The sequence below is a fragment of the Homo sapiens genome, chromosome 1 (genome assembly GCF_000001405.40).
Source record: "Homo sapiens chromosome 1, GRCh38.p14 Primary Assembly".
Lineage (NCBI taxonomy): Eukaryota > Metazoa > Chordata > Mammalia > Primates > Hominidae > Homo > Homo sapiens.
This window is the reverse complement of record NC_000001.11, coordinates 187,925,965-187,945,268: the sequence shown is the minus strand read 5'-3', so window position 1 is coordinate 187,945,268 and position 19,304 is coordinate 187,925,965. Positions and strand designations below refer to the sequence as shown.

The 19,304-nt window shown below is 35.3% G+C and overlaps 1 annotated feature.

Moving 5' to 3' along the window:
• Window positions 16,522-17,023: an enhancer, noted in NCBI's record as "NANOG hESC enhancer chr1:187897377-187897878 (GRCh37/hg19 assembly coordinates)". NCBI's record gives its function as "activates a minimal SCP1, AML or CMV promoter by ChIP-STARR-seq in naive H9 embryonic stem cells {active_cell/tissue: H9 hESC(naive)}" and the evidence as "EXISTENCE:reporter gene assay evidence [ECO:0000049][PMID:30033119]".

The following is a 19,304-nucleotide window of genomic DNA, read 5'->3' as shown; positions in this document are numbered from 1 at the left end:
TATCTCTAAAAGTTTTGAAAATTTCATTATTCTTTAGAAGAAGTGTTTCTAACTTCTTTCATACTGTTCAGTATTGCTACAGGGACAGTGCTTAGTCTTAGCTATACATTAGAAAACAACTTGAAGTAAAATTAATAACTTTAAAAGTAATAACAAAAACTGTGATTACTTTTGCACCAACCTGAATAATTAGATTATGCTAGCAACATCCATTAACTGTCATTTTTAATAAGGCCAACATGATTTACTTATATAGAAATTAAGCAAACTATTATTTCATACCTAGTTAGGTTTACCCGAAGTGAGTTGGGAGATTATATTGGTATTATGTTCTAAAATCCAGATGTAGAAAAGTAATCAGCAGTGATTACATTTAAAAACTTACATTATTAAGAATACTTTAGCCTCTCTTCACTTGCATTTCCCATCTGTTTTTTTTTTTCTGCAGTCTGTGTAATTCTGCCCATACTACCTGATTGTGAAATAGATATGAAAGTAATGGGTTTGCAGCACCAAAATTTATTAGCCAAATGGCCTAATATCATATGTCTTTGATCAACTGAACACTTTTTTTCTAAAGGAAAAAAAAGTAGGATTAGTCAAAAGAGCTCTAATGGGAAACTTAAGTCCCTTTTAAAAACTTTTGTTTGTCTCTGTTTAATGCTGGACAAACCAAGATTTTTGTTTCATGTAACACATTTTTATTACATACTGATTAAATTACATGTAAAGAAAGAAAAAGAGTAATCTGCATAAAAAACACAAGAAGCTAATTAAAGTGTTGATGCATTATACTTCTTTCTTCCTCAGTTTATAAGTTTTTTGTTGCAATTACAACAAACAGTGGCTTAAAACAGCATTTATCATGTTTCAGTTCTGGAATGGGTCTCCTTTGCCAAAATCAAGATTTTGGTAGGGCTCTGTTCTCTGTGGAGGCTCTAGGGTCAATAAATTTTCTTGCCTTTTCCAATTTCTAGAGGTAAACCCTATCCCTTGGCTCATGGTTGCATCCCTCCATCTTCAAAGCCAGCAATGGCCAGTAGAGTCTTTATCATACTGCACATTCTAATTTTCTACTTTCATTTTCATATCTCCTTCTCTGTCTGTTTTAAGGACCCTGTGATTACATTTGGCCTGCCTGCATAATTCAGTATAATTTCCCCATCTAAAGGTCTTTAAGTTAATTGCTTCTGCAAAATCATTTTTTCCATGTTAAAGTAACATATTCACAAGTTCCAGGGATTGGGACATGGATATCTTTGGTAGTTTTTATTCTGCCTACCACACTAGTGTTCTAGGTATATTAGTTTCTCATGTGTACTGGAATCAGAAAAAAAGACAATGAAAGTTCTTAGGGAGAGAACAAATATAACTAATTTTATATTTTCAGCAAACACTTTGGTTGCAATGTTGGAGAACCAAATAAAGACTGAGAAAGAATTAGAAAACCATTGCGTCACCCAGATGAAGAAATAAGTGTTGTTTAACTAGAGTGATGGTATTGAAGACTGTCTTAGTCCATTCAGGCTGGTATAACAAAATACCATAAACTTGGTAGCTTAGAAACAACAGGAATTTATTTCTCACAGTTCTGGAGGCTGGTAAATCCATAATCAAGATGCTGGCAGATTCTATTCGTGCTGAGGACTCACCTTCTGGTTCATATAGGGTGTCTTATCTCTATGTCCTCACACAGTAGAAGGGGAAAGGCAGCTTTCTGAGGCCTCTTATAAGGGCTCTAATCCCGTTCATGAGGGCTCTGTTCTCATGACCTAATCACCTTCCTTCCACAGGCCCCACTTTCTAATACTACCACCTTGGGGATGAAGATTTTAACATATGAATGTGGGGGAGACACATGCATTCAGGCTATAGCAAAGATGACTGTAGGAATGAAGCTAAAAATGTAGGGAGATATTCGGGAATTAAAATGAAAGAATTTGTTATAGGATTGAATGAGGTGCACAAGTAAAGCAGAGCTATCCGGGGTGACTATGTGGTTTCTAGCTTTAGCAAATGGATTGAGAAAATGGAGGGTGATGTAATTCAGTAGGAGAGGGAACAATGAAGAAGAACTCAAGGAGATCTTGATTATCTGTTTTACGTATGTTAACCATGAGTCATCTTGCAGGTATCTTGCAGCATTAAAGTTCTGAGGTGACATCTGGGATAAAAATGTAAATTTGTGAGTTATCAAAAAACATGCCAAAGGATGAAAATTGCTTTAAAACAGGAAGTATGCTTTTTAGTATAATTCCTGTTTCAAAGCGATTTTCATCCTTGGGCATGTTTTAGGGCCTTAGAACAAATCTTTAGGAAACTGAGCATTAAAAGGCTGGATAATATAGGTCAGAGCAGCAAAAGGATATGGGGATGAGAGCTCAAATTGGTAGGAAGAAACCTAGAAATACATTGCCATAGAAAAATAACAGGTTGCCAAAGGAGAAGTAAACAATTATGAAAGTTGCTGAAAAATACTGTAAGGTAATTGAAAAATTTTCAATGAATTTGTGATATTAAGATTATTGTTTTCCTAAAAAGCGATGTTTTTGTAGACCTGAAACCCTGGTGGATTAGGTTAAGTAATAGTAGAGTTTGAGGAAATGAAGAGTGTTGCTATATTTTTGTTAAGTTTGAGTTTTCAGATGTGATGAAATGAATGGCACCTGCTGGAGTGATTATGTTAAAGACATTTTTTATACATCAAAAAAACTTGAGTATAGTTCATGAGAACAGGACCAGCTTCATGGGCAGAGGAACTGTGCAACTAAATTAGGCTCCATTCTCAGAAATTCCCCACATTGGTTTAATGCTTTGCTATTGCCCTCTTGATATTATTAATATGTCTATATTTGAACTTGTGATTTGTAGGCAGAATGTGATGTAACAACAAACATATGCCAGGGGTTTGGAAACTGGACTTACACAAGGTCCTGCCTCCTGCTGGCTCTTAGCTACCACAGAATGGTTCAATCATTCATTCTCCTACTGCTTGGGTTCCTCTGGGTCCTATATTCCAGGCAATCACCAGATAAGTTTTAAAGGAGGCCATCATTCTGCTGTCAACCTCTGCCCTTGTGGGGTTTTAGATGTAATCACAGGGAGTGTTGGGATCAGGGTGTGCACTCTGGCACATCTCAGGTGGGACCCGGCAGTGGCAGCATGATTGGCAATAGGCTGGTCCATATTTGTGGGCACAATTCTCTTGTGGCTTGTGACCCAGGTACCTGGTGCATCCAGATGTGGAAGTTTAAAGGTATTTGGTGTTCACAGGCCTACTGCCATAGATTGTGGTGCCAGCAAATGGGAAGTAGAAATGCCAGGCTGTGAAGCATGTGTATGCGGGGGCTGGCACCAGGGGAACCTGGCAGCTATTGGGTTTGAGTAAGCTGGAGTCCCAAGTACTGAGATCTAGGCAAGGGGCCTGGGTAACTGTGAAGATCTGCCCTAGTCAGGCAAGTATCCTCATACTTACTGAGTATCCCTGTGTCGATGGAACCCTTCCTGGATGGCTTCCATGCCTGAGGGATCCTCTCTCCTTTCAACCTCTTGAGTCTGACTTGTATTTGTTAGTCCTGGTCTGCTGGAGCACAAGCAGCTTGTCTGAAGACAAACTATGAAATACAAAATTGTGTAACTGGGTGATTCTGCCTATAATTTAACTGCTCTATTTGCATTTAAAGCTAGCATTCCATATAAAAATGAATGGAATGGAAAAACTCATGCTAACAATGTGAATTTTTAATTTTTCTTTGCTTAAAACAATGTCAGAATAGCAAATACCATGAGAAGTCAGAAAAAAAACTTTTAAAAAGGGGAAAAACTTTACATTTTAGTACCAAACATGCTTGCCCCACCTCTGATTTTGAACAAGAAGCTCAAATGTTCATTTTGCACTAAGCCCTGCAAATTAGGTGGCCAAACTGCATGGGAAAATCAAACCGTGGGCAAAAGCTTGTAGAGAAAGTAAATGGAATCATCAATTCTTATGTAAGATTCCTGCAAAAGTTGGAAGATAGGAGGATGGACCTAAGACAGAAATATCAAGTTAGCTTTTCATGTGCCCCATAACTGAAGAACCGAGCCAGGTACTGAATTTGGAGGATTGCTATGGAAGTCATTTAGAAAATGAAATTCTGAGACGAAAAATAAATGAGGAATTCCTACATAAAACTAGAATTGTGCAGTTTGTTAATTAGAAAACCAAAGAAGGAAATGTCTTCTGAAGAGTTAAAAGTTTATTCTTCCATTGACAAGAGGAATAATATTAAATGAAGCATTTACTCATGTTTACTTATCTGTCTTTAACTGGAAAATGTTTCACAAAATTAAAAATAGCTTAAGGTTTCCCAGCACTTTGTGAGGCCGAGGTGGGTGGATCACCTGAGGTCAGGAGTTTGAGACCAGCCTTGCCAACATGGTGAAACCCCGTCTCTACTAAAAATACAAAAATTAGCCGGGCGTTCTGGCGAGTGCCTGTAGTCCCAGCTACTCGGGAGGCTGATGCAGAATTGCTTGAACCCGGGAGGCAGAGATTGCAGAGACCCAAGATCATGCCATTGCACTCCAGCCTGGGGAACAGAGTGAGGTTCTCTCAAAAAAAAAAAGAAAAGCTTACAGTGAAACAATTAATGATGCAAACAGAACAAAGAGAACCTAGACATCTAGGTGGAACTTAGGGATTACACCTTACGAGGCATTTAGATGAGCTAATTACTTATTAGCTTACTCTATTTAAGTTAGATGGAAGGAAAACATTCCCAAGAGACAGATTTGTTAATTACTAAAATTAGGCATTATCAAATTGAAGTAAAATGTGTTTTAATCCAGATAGTCTCAAAGGGAATAGATATATTTCCAACTGGCTGGGATAATTCCTTTTACACAATTCCATCACGTTGAAGTGATTAAATCTTTAGGCTATTATGAATTTTGTTTACTAAGTATTTGTATTCCTTTTGATTACCAATTGATTCATTTTAAGACCATTAAATTTTATGAAGGCTTTTTGTCTAATTGTTGTCCCATTTATACAACTGACTGTTATAAAATACCTTTGGTAAGTTTTTTGAAGTTTCTCTGACAAAATAGATCAAAAGACTAAATCTCTTCATTCTGCAACAACTTATTTCCATTTAATAGTTTATTAAAATAAGAAATCCTGTAACTGTTATTTGAGTTTCAAGTTTTATATATATATAAAGAGATACAGGAATGTGCAGTCCATAAAGCATGTGAAATGCATGCAGGCATCATGCAAAACTTTCTTTTAAGACATATTGAGGCAACCATTCCCTATCTGATGCTTACTGAGCTACATTTTAATATGTAGATTTTTTTTTTTTTAAAGTAGACTCTCGGCCAGGCACGGTGGCTCAAGCCTGTAATCCCAGCACTTTGGGAGCAGGTGGATCACGAGGTCAGGAGTTCAAGACCAGCCTAGCCAACATGGTGAAACCCCGTCTCTAGTAAAAATACAAAAAAATTTAGCTGGGCGTGGTGGCAGGCACCTGTATTCCCAGCTACTTGGGAGGCTGAGGCAGGAGAATGGCTTGAACCCAGGAGGTGGAGGCTGCAGTCAGCCGAGATTGTGCCACTGCACTCCAGACTGGGCAACAGAGCAAGACTCCGTCTCAAAAACAAACAGACAAACAAACAAACAACAACAACGAAAAAAAAAAAAGAACTCTCCTGGGCTAATCTTTCTCAGTTTTCAGTTAGTGGATATTTAAGGCAAAGATAAATGACCTCTAAATTTGTTTACACAAAACAAACACAAGGATACACACACATACTGCAAACATAATCAAGTAAAATTATAATACTTTTGATAATTTCCATAAGCAGATATTTATAAAGTAAATATGTGAAAAAATGAGATAAGGTAAACAGTAAAAATATGTTCACTTTTACAGAAATAACTTAAAAATATAACAATAATCACAAGATGAACAGGAAATATACTTCCAGATTATCTATGAAAACTTACGAGGCTTAGATGCATAATATAAATATTCCCCATTTCCCACCACTTGTGTGACTGCTTGATTAATAATGGTATATGTTCAATGGTAGCCTTCCTCTGTCCTGTGTTTTTATGATTTGTCTGCTCAGTGGTGACCACTGCTCTTAGATGTGTATTTAAACCCAAATTCGATGATCATGTAGAAGCTACTGCTGACATAGCTACTAATCAATAACATCCCGATGTTGCTGTATCAACCATTTATCTATTCAATAATATTTACAGAACATCTACATGTTCTAGACAAATAGGAATAAAAATGTGTCTACCCTCATGGAGCTTATATTCCAGTGAGGGATATATACAGTAAATCAGTAAATACTTGCTATACGTTAATGCTACATAGAAAGTAAAATATAGGTAAGCAAAAGTTTATGATGGGAATGTTGGGAGCCCTTTTAGACTGGGTGATATGGTAAGCCTTGCTGATGAAGTGACATTTGAGCAAAGACCTGCATGAAGTGAGGGAGAAAGAATATCATATACATAGAATCATACACTATGTAGCATTTGAAGTCTGGTTAACTTCATTAATTTTATGCATTTCAGATTCATCCAAATTATTAAATGTATCAGAAGTTATTCAATTTTTATGATTACTGAGTGGTATGCCATGGAATGAAGATATGATAGCTTATTTTTTCATTCCTTACCATGAAAAATTTGGGTTGTTTCTCATTCAGATGATTATGAATAAAGCTGCTATATGAAATCACAGACATGTTTGGGGATGAACATAAGATTTCATTTTACTTGGACAATCTATGAGTGGGATTGCCAGGTTATATGGCAAGCCTACTTTTAACTTTTTAAGGAACTGCCTAATTTGACTATACCATTTTGTATTATCACCAGCAATATATGAGAGTTCTAGTTGCTCTACATATTTATCAGCTATTTATGTTTTCTTTCTGTTTTGTTTTGTTTTCGCCATTCTAATAATTGTGTAGTGATATCACATTTTGTTTTCGGTTCCATTTTTCTGAATGACTAATGATGTTGAGCATCTTTTCATGTGAGATTCTTTTATCTCCTTTGGTGAAGGCTCTCTTTAACTTCTTATCCACTTTTATTTGTGTTGTTTCTTATTAATGAGTTATAAGAGCTCTTTATATGTTTTAGAAATAAGTTTTTTTACCAGATAGGTTATTTGTAAATATTTTCTCCCAGTCTATGGCTTATCTTTTAATTCTCTTAGCGGTGTATTTGAAAAAATTTTATTTGTATGAATTCAACTCATGCTATTTTTTTTCTTCTATGATCTTTGCTTTTGTTGAATCAGTCTAGTGCTGAGCCTGTTGAAGGCATTCTTCTTTGATACCATGCTTCTCATTTCTATAAATTTTATTTTTCCTTATAATTTCCATCTCTCTGCAGAAATTACCTATGCATGTTGTTCACCTTTTATATTAAGTAGTTAACATAGTAGTAATAGGTACTTTATATTCCCTACCTGATAATTCTAACTTCTGGGTGGGAGCTGAGACTGACTCTGTCTCCAGAATGTATGTTGCTTATTCTTCCTTATTTAGGTGTCTCCTTTGTTGTTGTTGTTGAAAGTTGACATCTTCTGTAAAGCAGTGAAAACTGAGATAAATGGCAACTATTTATTTCTGGGGCCACACCTGTTTTGTGGTAGACCTGTGGTGTGAGTAATTGAATCAATCCAGCCAGCTGAGCTGAGTCTGGGATTTGTTGTTTCCATGGTTGTTACCAATTCCCCACAGGCTTCACCTTCCTCTAGAGTCACCTTGTGCTTAGGATTGGGGATGATTTCCCAGAGTGTTTTTCACAATATCTTCCCTACCTTCAGCATAAAGTCTTCCTTTGCTTGTTAAAGAGTTTATTTTTCCATGCTCTTGTGCCGCCCCCATCCCCAGTAGTAGATGGTTATTGCTTATTATTGAATTTGTGGGCCTGATGGTGGTGGTGGTGGTGCACGGAGGTGGGAGAGTCAAATTTTGTTTTTCTGTTTTATTGTCCATCTTAGGCATGCACTGTGCCCCTGTGTCTTGGGGAGAGTGCTTCTTATTTATCCTGTCCCTCACTAAGACGTATAAATTTTCTAATGGTTTCGGATCAGGACATTTTCCTCTCCTTTTTCTCTGAAATCCAGTTGTTTCTTAGCCTGTTTCCTGATGTTGACTGGATTTACTATTTTCTCATCAGTTTAAACTTTTAATTGGAGATAAAGGAGAAACACCTATCTAGGAAAGGCTGGATATCTTTCTCACTGAGGTTGCTTCTCATTCCCCTACCCCAGCACTCACACCTGAACAACATGAGGAAGACTTTTTCTGGTCCCCCCAGATTTTTCTCATAACCACTTGATTAGTTCACTAAGAGACTGAAAGTCCCTGTGAATTCCCCTTGGGGGTACTGTTCCCATGGGCACCTGCGTGTTGTTTGCCCCAAAGAATCAAGGGTTTGCCTCCTATCTCTCCTTGATGTCACTCATCTTTGTTTAGATTTTGTGTAAGTTGGATATTTTGCAACCTCAGTGCCTTGATGGATTTAACAGAAGTTGTAATTGTAGAATAATCTATATATTGCTGTTATTTTAAGGGTGAGAATAATGCACTTTCTAGCTTTCCAGATCTATATTAATTTACTAAAACTACCGCAACAAATAAACTTGGTGGCCAAAAAAATTCTCACAGTTTTGAAAGGCAGAAATCCTGACTCAGTTGTCAGCAGGGTCATGTTCCCTCTGCAGTTTCTAGAGAAGAACTCTTCCTTGCCTCTGCCAGCTTCTGATACCTTGGCTGTCCTTTCGGTTATGGCAGCATAACTCTAATCTTTACCTCCATCTTAACGTACTTTCCCTTTGTGCCTTTCTGTATTTTTTTTCTTCTTATAAAGACACCAGTCATTGGATTTAAGATCCACTCTGTGTTATGCCATTCTTGTATTGCAATAAAGAAATACCCAAGACTGGGTAATTTATAAAGAAAAGAGGTTTAATTGGCTCAAGGTTCTGCAAGCTTTATAGGGAGCATGGTGCTGGCATCTGCTTGGCTTCTGGGGAGGCCACAGGAAACTTACAATCATGGTGGGAGGCAAAGGGGGAGCAGGCAAGAAAGAGAGAGTGTCGATCTAGTCACTTTTATCGCCTGACCAGATCTCGAGATAACTCACTATCACAAAGATGGCACCAAGCCATAAGGGATCCACCTCCAGGAACCAAATGCCTCCCACAAGGCCCCACTTCCGACAATGGGGATTAGAATTCAACATGAGATTTGGGTGGAGACCTGAAATCCCAGGTGATTCATCTTGAGATCTTTTACTTAAGTACATCTACAAAGATACGAATTTCCAAATAAGATCACATTCTGAAAGTTTAGGGGGTGTGAATCTTTGAAGGACATTATTCAATCCACTCCAACTTTGTAATAACTGAAATTCATTGAAGCTTAAACTATATGGTAAATATTACTAAGTGATTAGAACTTCTTCATTACTAAGTGATTAGAACTAAACTTCATAGAATTGTTTAACTTCTTTAAAACAATTGGTATGTTTTAAAAATTTTTATGTCAAAAATCCCTGGTAATACCTTACATTATTTTATTTATCGAACAAATATATATTAAGAAGGTACTGCATGGCAGACACTGTATTTGATGTTGCAGATGTAGACAAAGTCCGTTTTCATCGACCTTGATTTTGCTCCTTAAAAAAAAAAGTATAAGTTTCTCTTATCAAGTTACATTTTCTACAGCTTTGTTTAAAATGTAGGATAATTCACTATCTCCTAAGAAAGACTTAGTTTTTTACAATTCCACAGAAAACATTAGTTCTTCTCAATTTTTGTTATTTTGCTTGTAGAAATGGAAAAACCTACTGACTTCAATTATTTAACAGAGTGATGGAATGAAACTTTTGTTTCATCTATTCCAAATTAAATGACCTGAAAAAAGGTAATTTTCTGTCATTCTAATAAGTAACATGTTTCCTAATGAACTTGTCATTCTAATTATTTTCACATTGAGTTGGTTCCCAATCAGTTCTTAGGGCATTTTTCCTCATATAATCTAAAATAGCTGAACAAAAGCAATATATTATGTGTCTTAAAACCATTAAAGATAAAAGATGTTTTCAATCTGCAATGGTAAATAAGAAAAAGGCAAAACATAGTGGATTGAAAGGTGGAATACTAATGTAATATTGATCTCGGTTTTTTTAACTGTGGGTTAATTTCATCAAAACCAGAATGCTTTGAGTAAGCCTAATATGCAACAAATATTACGGTGTATAGAGATATTTAATTCAACTCAGAAGTTGATAAAGTTTATACAAAATAAATATGCTAACATATAATTGTTTTTCATGCATAACAACTTCTCTTATAATAGTGAATAATTAAAAAAGAATACGTACATTAAGTGTGTAAATAAAATAAACCTATGTATCAAAGTAAGGTATGATTAGTTAATTGAGTTCTAAAATAACTTGAATTTCCAGATTTTTGATTTTAGGTCTTAAAATACCTTATAACATGTGATGGCTTATATGTGCCTTTGTCTCTACTTTTTTCCACTTCTCACTTACTCAGAATCAGTATTTTAAAGCATAAAGTAACTGGCCATATTATTTAATAGACTAGCTTCTCCATTAGAATAGACTAAGAATCCAATAATTAACTCACACTATATGAAACTGAATTTTCCCCCATACACTTAGACTTGGTGATTTAAGCTTTCTTAATGGTGTCAGTGCCAGTTTCATAATAACTGTGGCAACACTAATTCAAAATCAAAAGGACAAAATTGTATTTTTTTAACTGTTGTATTTCATAATGTTTTATTAGATTGGTGCAATAGAAATTGTGGGTTTTGTCATTACTTTTAATGCACTTTTCTTGCATTGCTTTAAAGAAATACCCAAGACTGGGTAATTTATAAAGAAAAGAGTTTAATTGGCTCATGGTTCTGCATGCTTTACAGAAAGCACGGGGATAGCATCTGCTTGGCTTCTGGGGAGGCCTCAGGAAACTTACAATCATGACGGGAGGCAAAGGGGGAAGAGGCACATCACATGGCAAAAGGAGGAGGAGGTGAAAATTGCATCACAAAACCACAGTTACTTTTGCACCAACCTAAATAATTGTCTGCATAAACTGTGATAGCATGAGGAAGTGCAGATATATCTTTTTTTGAATATTTTTGTTTGACTCTGTTTGCCACATAAAGACTAAAGCTCTATTAGAATTGGCTATTAGAGAGTAACTAGTTTACCCAGCAGGGTACTTTTCAGAAGTTTGGCAAAATAATTTTGTCATATGAAATATCTTAGAGTTTTGTATGTCCTGAACATTAGCCTTGAGACTATCTGGTTTTATTTCAAAATCCTGATCCAAAATCTGGAACCAATATCTTCATTAAACCAACTGATTTCAGATTAATAAACTATACACTAATCTCTTCACAAATCCTTCAGATGGCTCAAAACAATTTGAAAGTTGCCTGAACTTTGTACTCTCCATGGAGCCATTGGTTAATATTAACATTGAAAACTTTGTCAACAGTGATACAAAAACTTGTTATTGAGAAAGGTACAAAAGGGTAACTCATCCCCATGAATAATTTCTATGGCGATTTCTTAAATTTTTTGAACAAATCAAAAGAAATATCTGATCACACTGATATATTACCAGAATATTATTATTAGCTATTATGTCTTCATAAGTCATGAGATAATGCACTAAATCCCTAAATGAGAAAACAGCCCTGTTAAATGTTGATCATCAGTCATATACTGCTCATTTTTACTTGGATTTAGATGACCCAGAAAGGCTTGAATCTATATACCATTTGTCTTACATGTTATCACACACTGAGTTGTAACACTGAAATAAGGAGATCTCCTAATGAAAATGAAAATCAGTCTCTAATTGCTTTGTCAGTTTTACAGGCCCAGTGATTAGATTGACTCCACTTTACCATTTATAGCAAATTATCCTATTTTGTATAAACTACAATAGTAAAAAGTTAAATACGGAGAGTGGCACGTAAAGGTAACACAGTGGAAGTAAGATGACTTTAAACCCCTAATCCCACAATTTCCTGTTCCCTTATCCATTCTTTTTTTTTTGAGACAGGGTCTCACTCTGTCGCCAGGCTGGGGTGCAGTAGTGTGATCTTGGCTCACTGCAGCCTCTGCCTCCTGGGTTCAAGTGATTCCCCTGCCTCAGCCTCCTGAGTAGTTGAGACTACAGGCATGCACCACTATGCCCAGCTAATTTTTGTACTTTTGGTAGAGACGGGGTTTCACCATGTTGGCCAGGATGGTCTCGATCTCCTGAACTCATGATCCGCCCACCTCGGCCTCCCAAAGTGCTGGGTGAGCCACCGCACCCGGCCCCCTTATCCATTCTTGTCATTCAGACAATTACTATTTCACACACACTCGTACATTAATACAACATTTTAATTAAAAATAATGCCATATAAAATACAGTTTTCTAAAATTCCCTGTTTTACTTAACATCCTGTAAAGATTGTAATATGTTTTGTGGATTGTTTTCATTCATGATTCTATGTAGGTACTTCTATCTCACCTTTTTAATAGTTACATAGTATTGCCTTGCATTAATTCATAAAACTTTATAAAATCAATCTACTAATAATGGAATCCAGGTAGGTCATAGGGATTTACTAATATAAAGAGAGCTGAAATTCATTTACAGGTTTATTATATGGTACATTTGTATGTGTATATAATAATTAAGATACATATTTTGAAGAAAAAATACTGAATCAATATATATGAGCATTCCAAAATTCGATAGGTATTGCTATATTGCTTATAAAAATGATATACAATTTAAAATCTTAAAATATTAAAGGCAGTGGATATGTATGATTTCCTATCCAACTTAGAATATTGCCTACATTTGTATTTTTGTGAATCGTACATGATTAGGATATTATTTGAAAAGGACACCTTTTAAGTATTAAAAAGCCATTTGAAGGTACTTTAACTTTGGCTGTGGAGGACTAACATACACAATAAACTCTAAATAAGCTAGAAAAATATTTATGTTTCAAGGCATCAGAGATCTACCCGGATAGTTTGCACTCAGAGTGAAGATATTGAAAAGAAGGCGCATGAAGAGATGTGACTGAAACTTTTTCAACATGAGGCATGTGCCAAAGCAGCACAGGGTCTGAAAAACGAAGTAGACCTATCATCAGTCTCCAGGGCATGGAAGAAAAAATCAATCTCAGGGCCTGCTACGGTAGAAGGGACATGGCAAATTCTCCAGGCTTTCAGATGTGACCAATTACATACCAGGAGTAACGACGCATCAAAACAGGCAAATGCTACAACCACTGAAACAGAGCTACGAGTAAGCTCAATTCCTCATTGGAATAAGCTAAGCTTTCCTCTGGAGAAAGTTAGTATTCAGAGTCACAAATTACTCCCAGCTTTTTTTTTTTTCTTTTAACACAAAAGGACTGGCATTCAGTAAAAAGTAACAATGATACCAGAATGTAAAATTAAATTATTAAAAACCAGAAAAAACATAAGAAACAGTAGAAATGGACCTCCAGGATAGTTGTATAATAGATGACAAGATGGACACTTTTATTGGAGGAATTGAAATCCAGAAAAAACAGAAATAGAAACTTCAGACATTCCTCTGTAGCAGTAAAAGTAAATATGATGGATCCAAACATATTAATTTGGAAAGATCTCATACATATTACTGAGTATACATAAAAGAAAAACTGAATTATATTTAGTTGTAATAAAACACTGCATCTTAATTATATTATTTACAGTAATATACAATAGTATGTGTTTTTGACCATTAAATGCACTGCAAATGCAAATGTGTAGAAATAGAACTGTAAGTACACAACACAAACCACTAAGTTTGGTAAGTTAGAAAGGGGATTTCAGCAGATGCTGGTCACTTTATCCATATAATCAGATTTGTTTACAAAGTGAAGGCATATCCTTTATGTAATATGAAAAGAATTGTTATACTAGAGAAATACCTGACTATAGGCTCTCTGTACTTAAACTCAGTGTCTGCCCTTCCTTGAGTCAGGGCAATGACAAATATAACAGAGGTCAGGTGTTGTTCATATTCTCAACTGTAACATTTTCATAAAGAAAAATCTATGTGGTGGGAAATGTTTAGTTTTCAACCTGTAGTTCTAAGTAAAGTCCTTTTCAGAAGGATGACTTCCTGATTTAAACAGAATTAATGAAATTATAAATATTTACAGAAAATGGCAGCTGTAGAAGACAGAAAAAAGAGCAGTTACTTTTTAAATATTTAAGTAACTTTCCTGTGATAGAGAATTTTAATATCTGAAAATTACTGGTTTTTCATAGCATCATATGAGTCAAGTTTTAGTCAACAAGATGTTAATGTGTGACAGCAGGATGCAATGGGGAGTAGAAATGATTATATTCTGCATGTGTATCAGGGTCTTTGACTCAAGTTCTTGGCCTTGGTAAAGAAATATAACCGATCTGGCCTTTGTTTACTTGTTCATGAAAAGAAAGGTAATGTGCTAATTCAGAAAAAGTAGAATTTGGAATTGAGAGCAAGAAATTTGGTAAAGTAATAACAGAGCTATAAATTCTCCATGTTACTTTGTTACACGTAAGAAAACAGATATACAAAAGTATTGGTCCTGCATTTACTCCCATTAGTAAATTCACTTATAATTATATATTATTAGTATTTCATGACAACAATTTTATAAAACCTGTTATTATGAATAAACTGACTCACACAGAAGATGTAGATAATCAAGATGAAATAATTTTTGTTGTTTATATTTCTGAAGCTGGTTCTCTTTTCAGAAGGTGGTGAATTGTGAATTTAGTTGTATCTAGTATTCTAAATAATATTTTTCAATACTAAGTGATAGCAGGATACTCAGATATTAAAAGCATGTTCTCTTTGTCATTAATAGCCTTGGACAAATATTTACCATGAGGGTTATTTTTCTTCTCTACAATGTGATGATAATGGTACCAGTTGCATTAGATCATCGAGAGACAACTCATGCAAAGCACTTAGCACAGTTCCTAATCATAGTTAGTACTTGGTAGATACTTGTTATAAAGAGAATTATTTCCAGATATATGATTGTAAGTATTTCACCCACTTTTATATCATATGTTCCAAATATTCTTTCCAATATAAAAGAAATATTTTAACAAAGCTAGTGTCTTCTTTAATATAGTCAACAAAAGAAACACCTGTGATCCTTAGGGGCAATCTGTAATGATGTATGTAGTTCTAAAATGTTAATATTGGTTAAGGGTCTCTTACACATTAAATTTTCTTGACTTTTTCATGAAAACATTTACAAATGTGTAAACAATGAGTACATTTGCAACTATTTGAATTTCAAAAGTAATCAAAACATTTGGCATCATCATTTTTTTCCTGTTAAAGACCAATTTTATGAATGTAACTTATGGCTTCTAGGAGGTTTGAAATTATCAATAGGGAAATAATTAGTAATTAATAAAATCAATTATATACTATATTATTTAATACATTAGTGAATGTTTATTATTTTATATATTACATATAATAATGAAAACTTAGAATCAGCTTAAATACCCGGAAGAGAAGATGGTTAAATACATTCGAGAACAAAGATAAAATACTACATAATCATGAAATTAATATTTCAAATGACTATTTAATGACATGTAGAAGGAATCAATGGTGAATTTTGTGTAAATGATGAGGGACAGAGAGGTGTCATAGGTAATTTCTAACTTATTGATTTGCAAAGTAAATGCATTGGGGTTGGAGATCATGAGCTCTATTTTGGTCCTACCTGAATAGATATGGCTGAATAAATTATGCAGGAGCTAGAGAACAAAACTGGGCTAAGAAGAAAATCAGTGGCATCAGCATACAGTGATAATTACAACCATAGGCACACCTGAGAAAATGTAGGGAGCTATGCTTTAGCTCTCCAGGAGAAAAGAAAAGATCCAAAAAGACTTCAAGGGCTTCAATTTAAAGAAAGCTGAAAGGTGAAATGTGGTTATTTTGATTAACATGGCATGTCACCATTCACAAAATAAAATGCACAACATCGCACTCGCTGTTTATCTGCAGTTACTACAGAGTCATTTTCCTATCCCTGTCTGGCATGAGTGTAATAGTTTGGCTCAAATAGGATGGATAAATAATTGAGACATGTTGATAGATATTTGATCAATGCCTGTAACACATGCTTTCCCACTCGTTGTAAAGTTCCATGCAGTGCATTAAGAGATAAGTAAATACATGCCTAATTCCAAGGTCGCAAATTCTCTACACACTTTATGCTGTGTGAAGTCTCTTGCCTAGGACTGGCTACTTTTGATCTGTTGTTTCATACACAGTCTTCATCTGTGCTGAGCCTGTAGATTAAAGCCTCACTTAAATGTCTGCCTGACTATTGTTGCTGCTTTTGTTTCCCCCAGACACTGATTTTCCAGAATAAATGATCTCATGTCTCCAAAGTGAGCTTCCCTTATACACAAATTTCATTTTTTAATCTTCTTAATTTTCTGAAACTTAAAAAAAATAAAAAAGACAAAGCTGAAGACAACATATTGGTATTTAAGAAACACTTTTGAAGGCAGAGAGAAGAAACAAGGGGAGGGGTCCCCTGTTGATACAAACTGCCCTGGAACCATTCTGTATTCATTCTTCCCCTCACTTAAGATGCAATCACAGTGTCTCCTGTGAGACTTAATTAAGCTACGGGCTCCCTCTGGCTGCCGCCTCCCATTTCTGACGTGCCTCATTCCTCTGAGAAACACAGAAGAATTTTCGCAGCTTTTCCTTCCTTCCTACTTTCTTTCTATTCCATTCTCCAAAGTATCAACCATTCTTGAGGATTTTGGAGGCTCTTTTTTTTCAGTAATTTTAAGAGAAAGAAGTGGTAAACAGAAGAAAAAAATGGATTAACACTGGGAAAATGTTACAAGCATGCAAATGGTACTAGGATTTTGTTTACTTTGTTTTCTCTTTTCATCTTGCTTCTTCAATAATGTATCTCTTGTTTTTATTTGGCAAAAAAGGTGTATCCATTTTTGGTATATCATTTACCCTCTGAGCTGATGATTGTTTTGTTTTTGTTTTCATTTCTGTTTGTTTGTTTTTAATATATGGGATTCTTCACTCCTCTGTAGCTTTAGACTTTTTAAAGAGAGGTGCAGATACCATCTATATTTGTTGAGCGCTTACTATGTGCTCTACACATAAGATCTTTATGTGTATCAACTAATTTAATTTTCATAACAAACACATTTTACAGTGAGGAAATTTAGGACCAGAGGAAATTGTCCCCATTCATACAGCTAGCAGTGAGAGATAGAATCAGGATTCAATGCTTGAACTCTGACACCTGTGACCTAGATGTTACCCACCATTCCCTGTTGTAAAAGTAGCTCCAAGCAATAACATTTGGTAATCAGCTTGAATGGTAATCTTATGTGAAGCTAAACTTCACTTCAGAGTAAGTTACAGCGAGTACTTCCAATGTTTCTCTCCAAACATATTCCAGTGAGATATTAACAGGTATTACAAGGGGAAAAGAGTTGCCCTGTAAGGCAAGTTTGAAAAGCTGAGATTAAGAAATACCAGTTTGCTTTCAGGTCTTTAAAACCCTTAATCTGGGCTGGGCACAATGGCTCATGAGGTCAGGAGTTGGAAGACCAACCTGGCCAATATGGTAAAACAACGTCTGTACTAAAAATGTAAAAAAATTAGCCTGGTGTGGTGGCACATGCCTGTAGTCTCAGCTACTCAGGAGGCTGAGGCAGGAGAATCGCTTGAACCTGGGAGGTGGAGGTTACAGTGAGCCAAGATCACACCACTGCACTCCAGTCTGGGCAACAGAGTGAGACTCTGTCTCAAACAAAACAAAACAAAACAAAACAAAAAAACCTTTAATGTGATAATGCACATGTAACTCTAGAGGTTGGATACATAATGCATTGTTTTCCAATCATATTTGATAAAACATACTTTTGGAAAAACATCAATTCATTAAGAGTTCAAATACCCATTTCAAAAACTCAAATTCAATTGTTTCTCCCTCTCTGACTAGCTCAAGAAAGTGCTGTTTCACACTAGAATATCCTTTCAAATCCTTCCCTCGCATCAAAAATGTTTATTCACAATGTGAGACTCGCTTTGCTTGAATAAGAATAAAAACCTTATTTTCAATTCTTCCTAATGTATTGTCACAGTATGTACCAAGAGAGTTGTTAGTTTGGGTAATACTAGGTACTATAACATATAGTCTCTAATACCTGAAATAAAACAAAAGTATTTCTGGCTAATGTCAGAGTTCAAAGCATTGCTCGATGTGCACAGATCACTGCTTTTCATGTGGTGATTCAGGTATGAGGCTTCTTCTGTTTAAGACCACATCTAATATAATTCTAGCTGTTGAAGGAAAAGTATGGGGAATGAACACCAACTTTTTTAAAAACCTTGGCCTGGAAATGACACACGTCACTTTGGCTCATATTTCACTAGTTTAAAAAAAAAAAACAAGAAACCACTAGTCGTATGTCCACTTCTAGATGCACAAAGACTGTGATGTACTGACTGAATAGCTATTTTTTAGGGATAATTTTAGAGGATATAAGTGGAAATACAAAACTGGGAAGACTATTTATCATCTCTACCATCAGAATTGCATATATTGGCCAATATTGCATCAATTTCTACATTCCTTTTTAACATGCAAAGCCTGTAAAGTGATACAGAAATTCCAAAGTTGATTCCATACATTTTTCAAATGATTACCACAAATAAAATGACCAGTTATTATCACTGCCATAGCACTATGCCAATAATGGATTGCAGACCGAATATTTCCACTGAATAAGGATTTTCTAACACATATTACCCAAAATAGCTTATAAACATAAAGCCTTTTTAAAGAAAATTTTGTGAAATAAGATATATTTACATATAGATTTATATTATTATTGGCTCTGTTTATTTCACAAAACTTACTTTACTTTTTCTAACATCATTCCACTCTTTAGAGATTGGTGAAACTCTATTTTAGATGTGACTAGTGAATCAAGTTAGTACATGATTTGATAGAATTGACCAGAACATAACTGATTGCCTATTGGGGTAGAGTGGACACTAGAAAGAATAGGGAAAGAGGACACGAAGCTGGGGCAGAAGAGGAAACTGAGAAGCGGCTGGGGCTGACTCAGCCACAGTTTACCAAAGAAAATTCATTATAAGGGTAAGATTCAATCTCCAGAT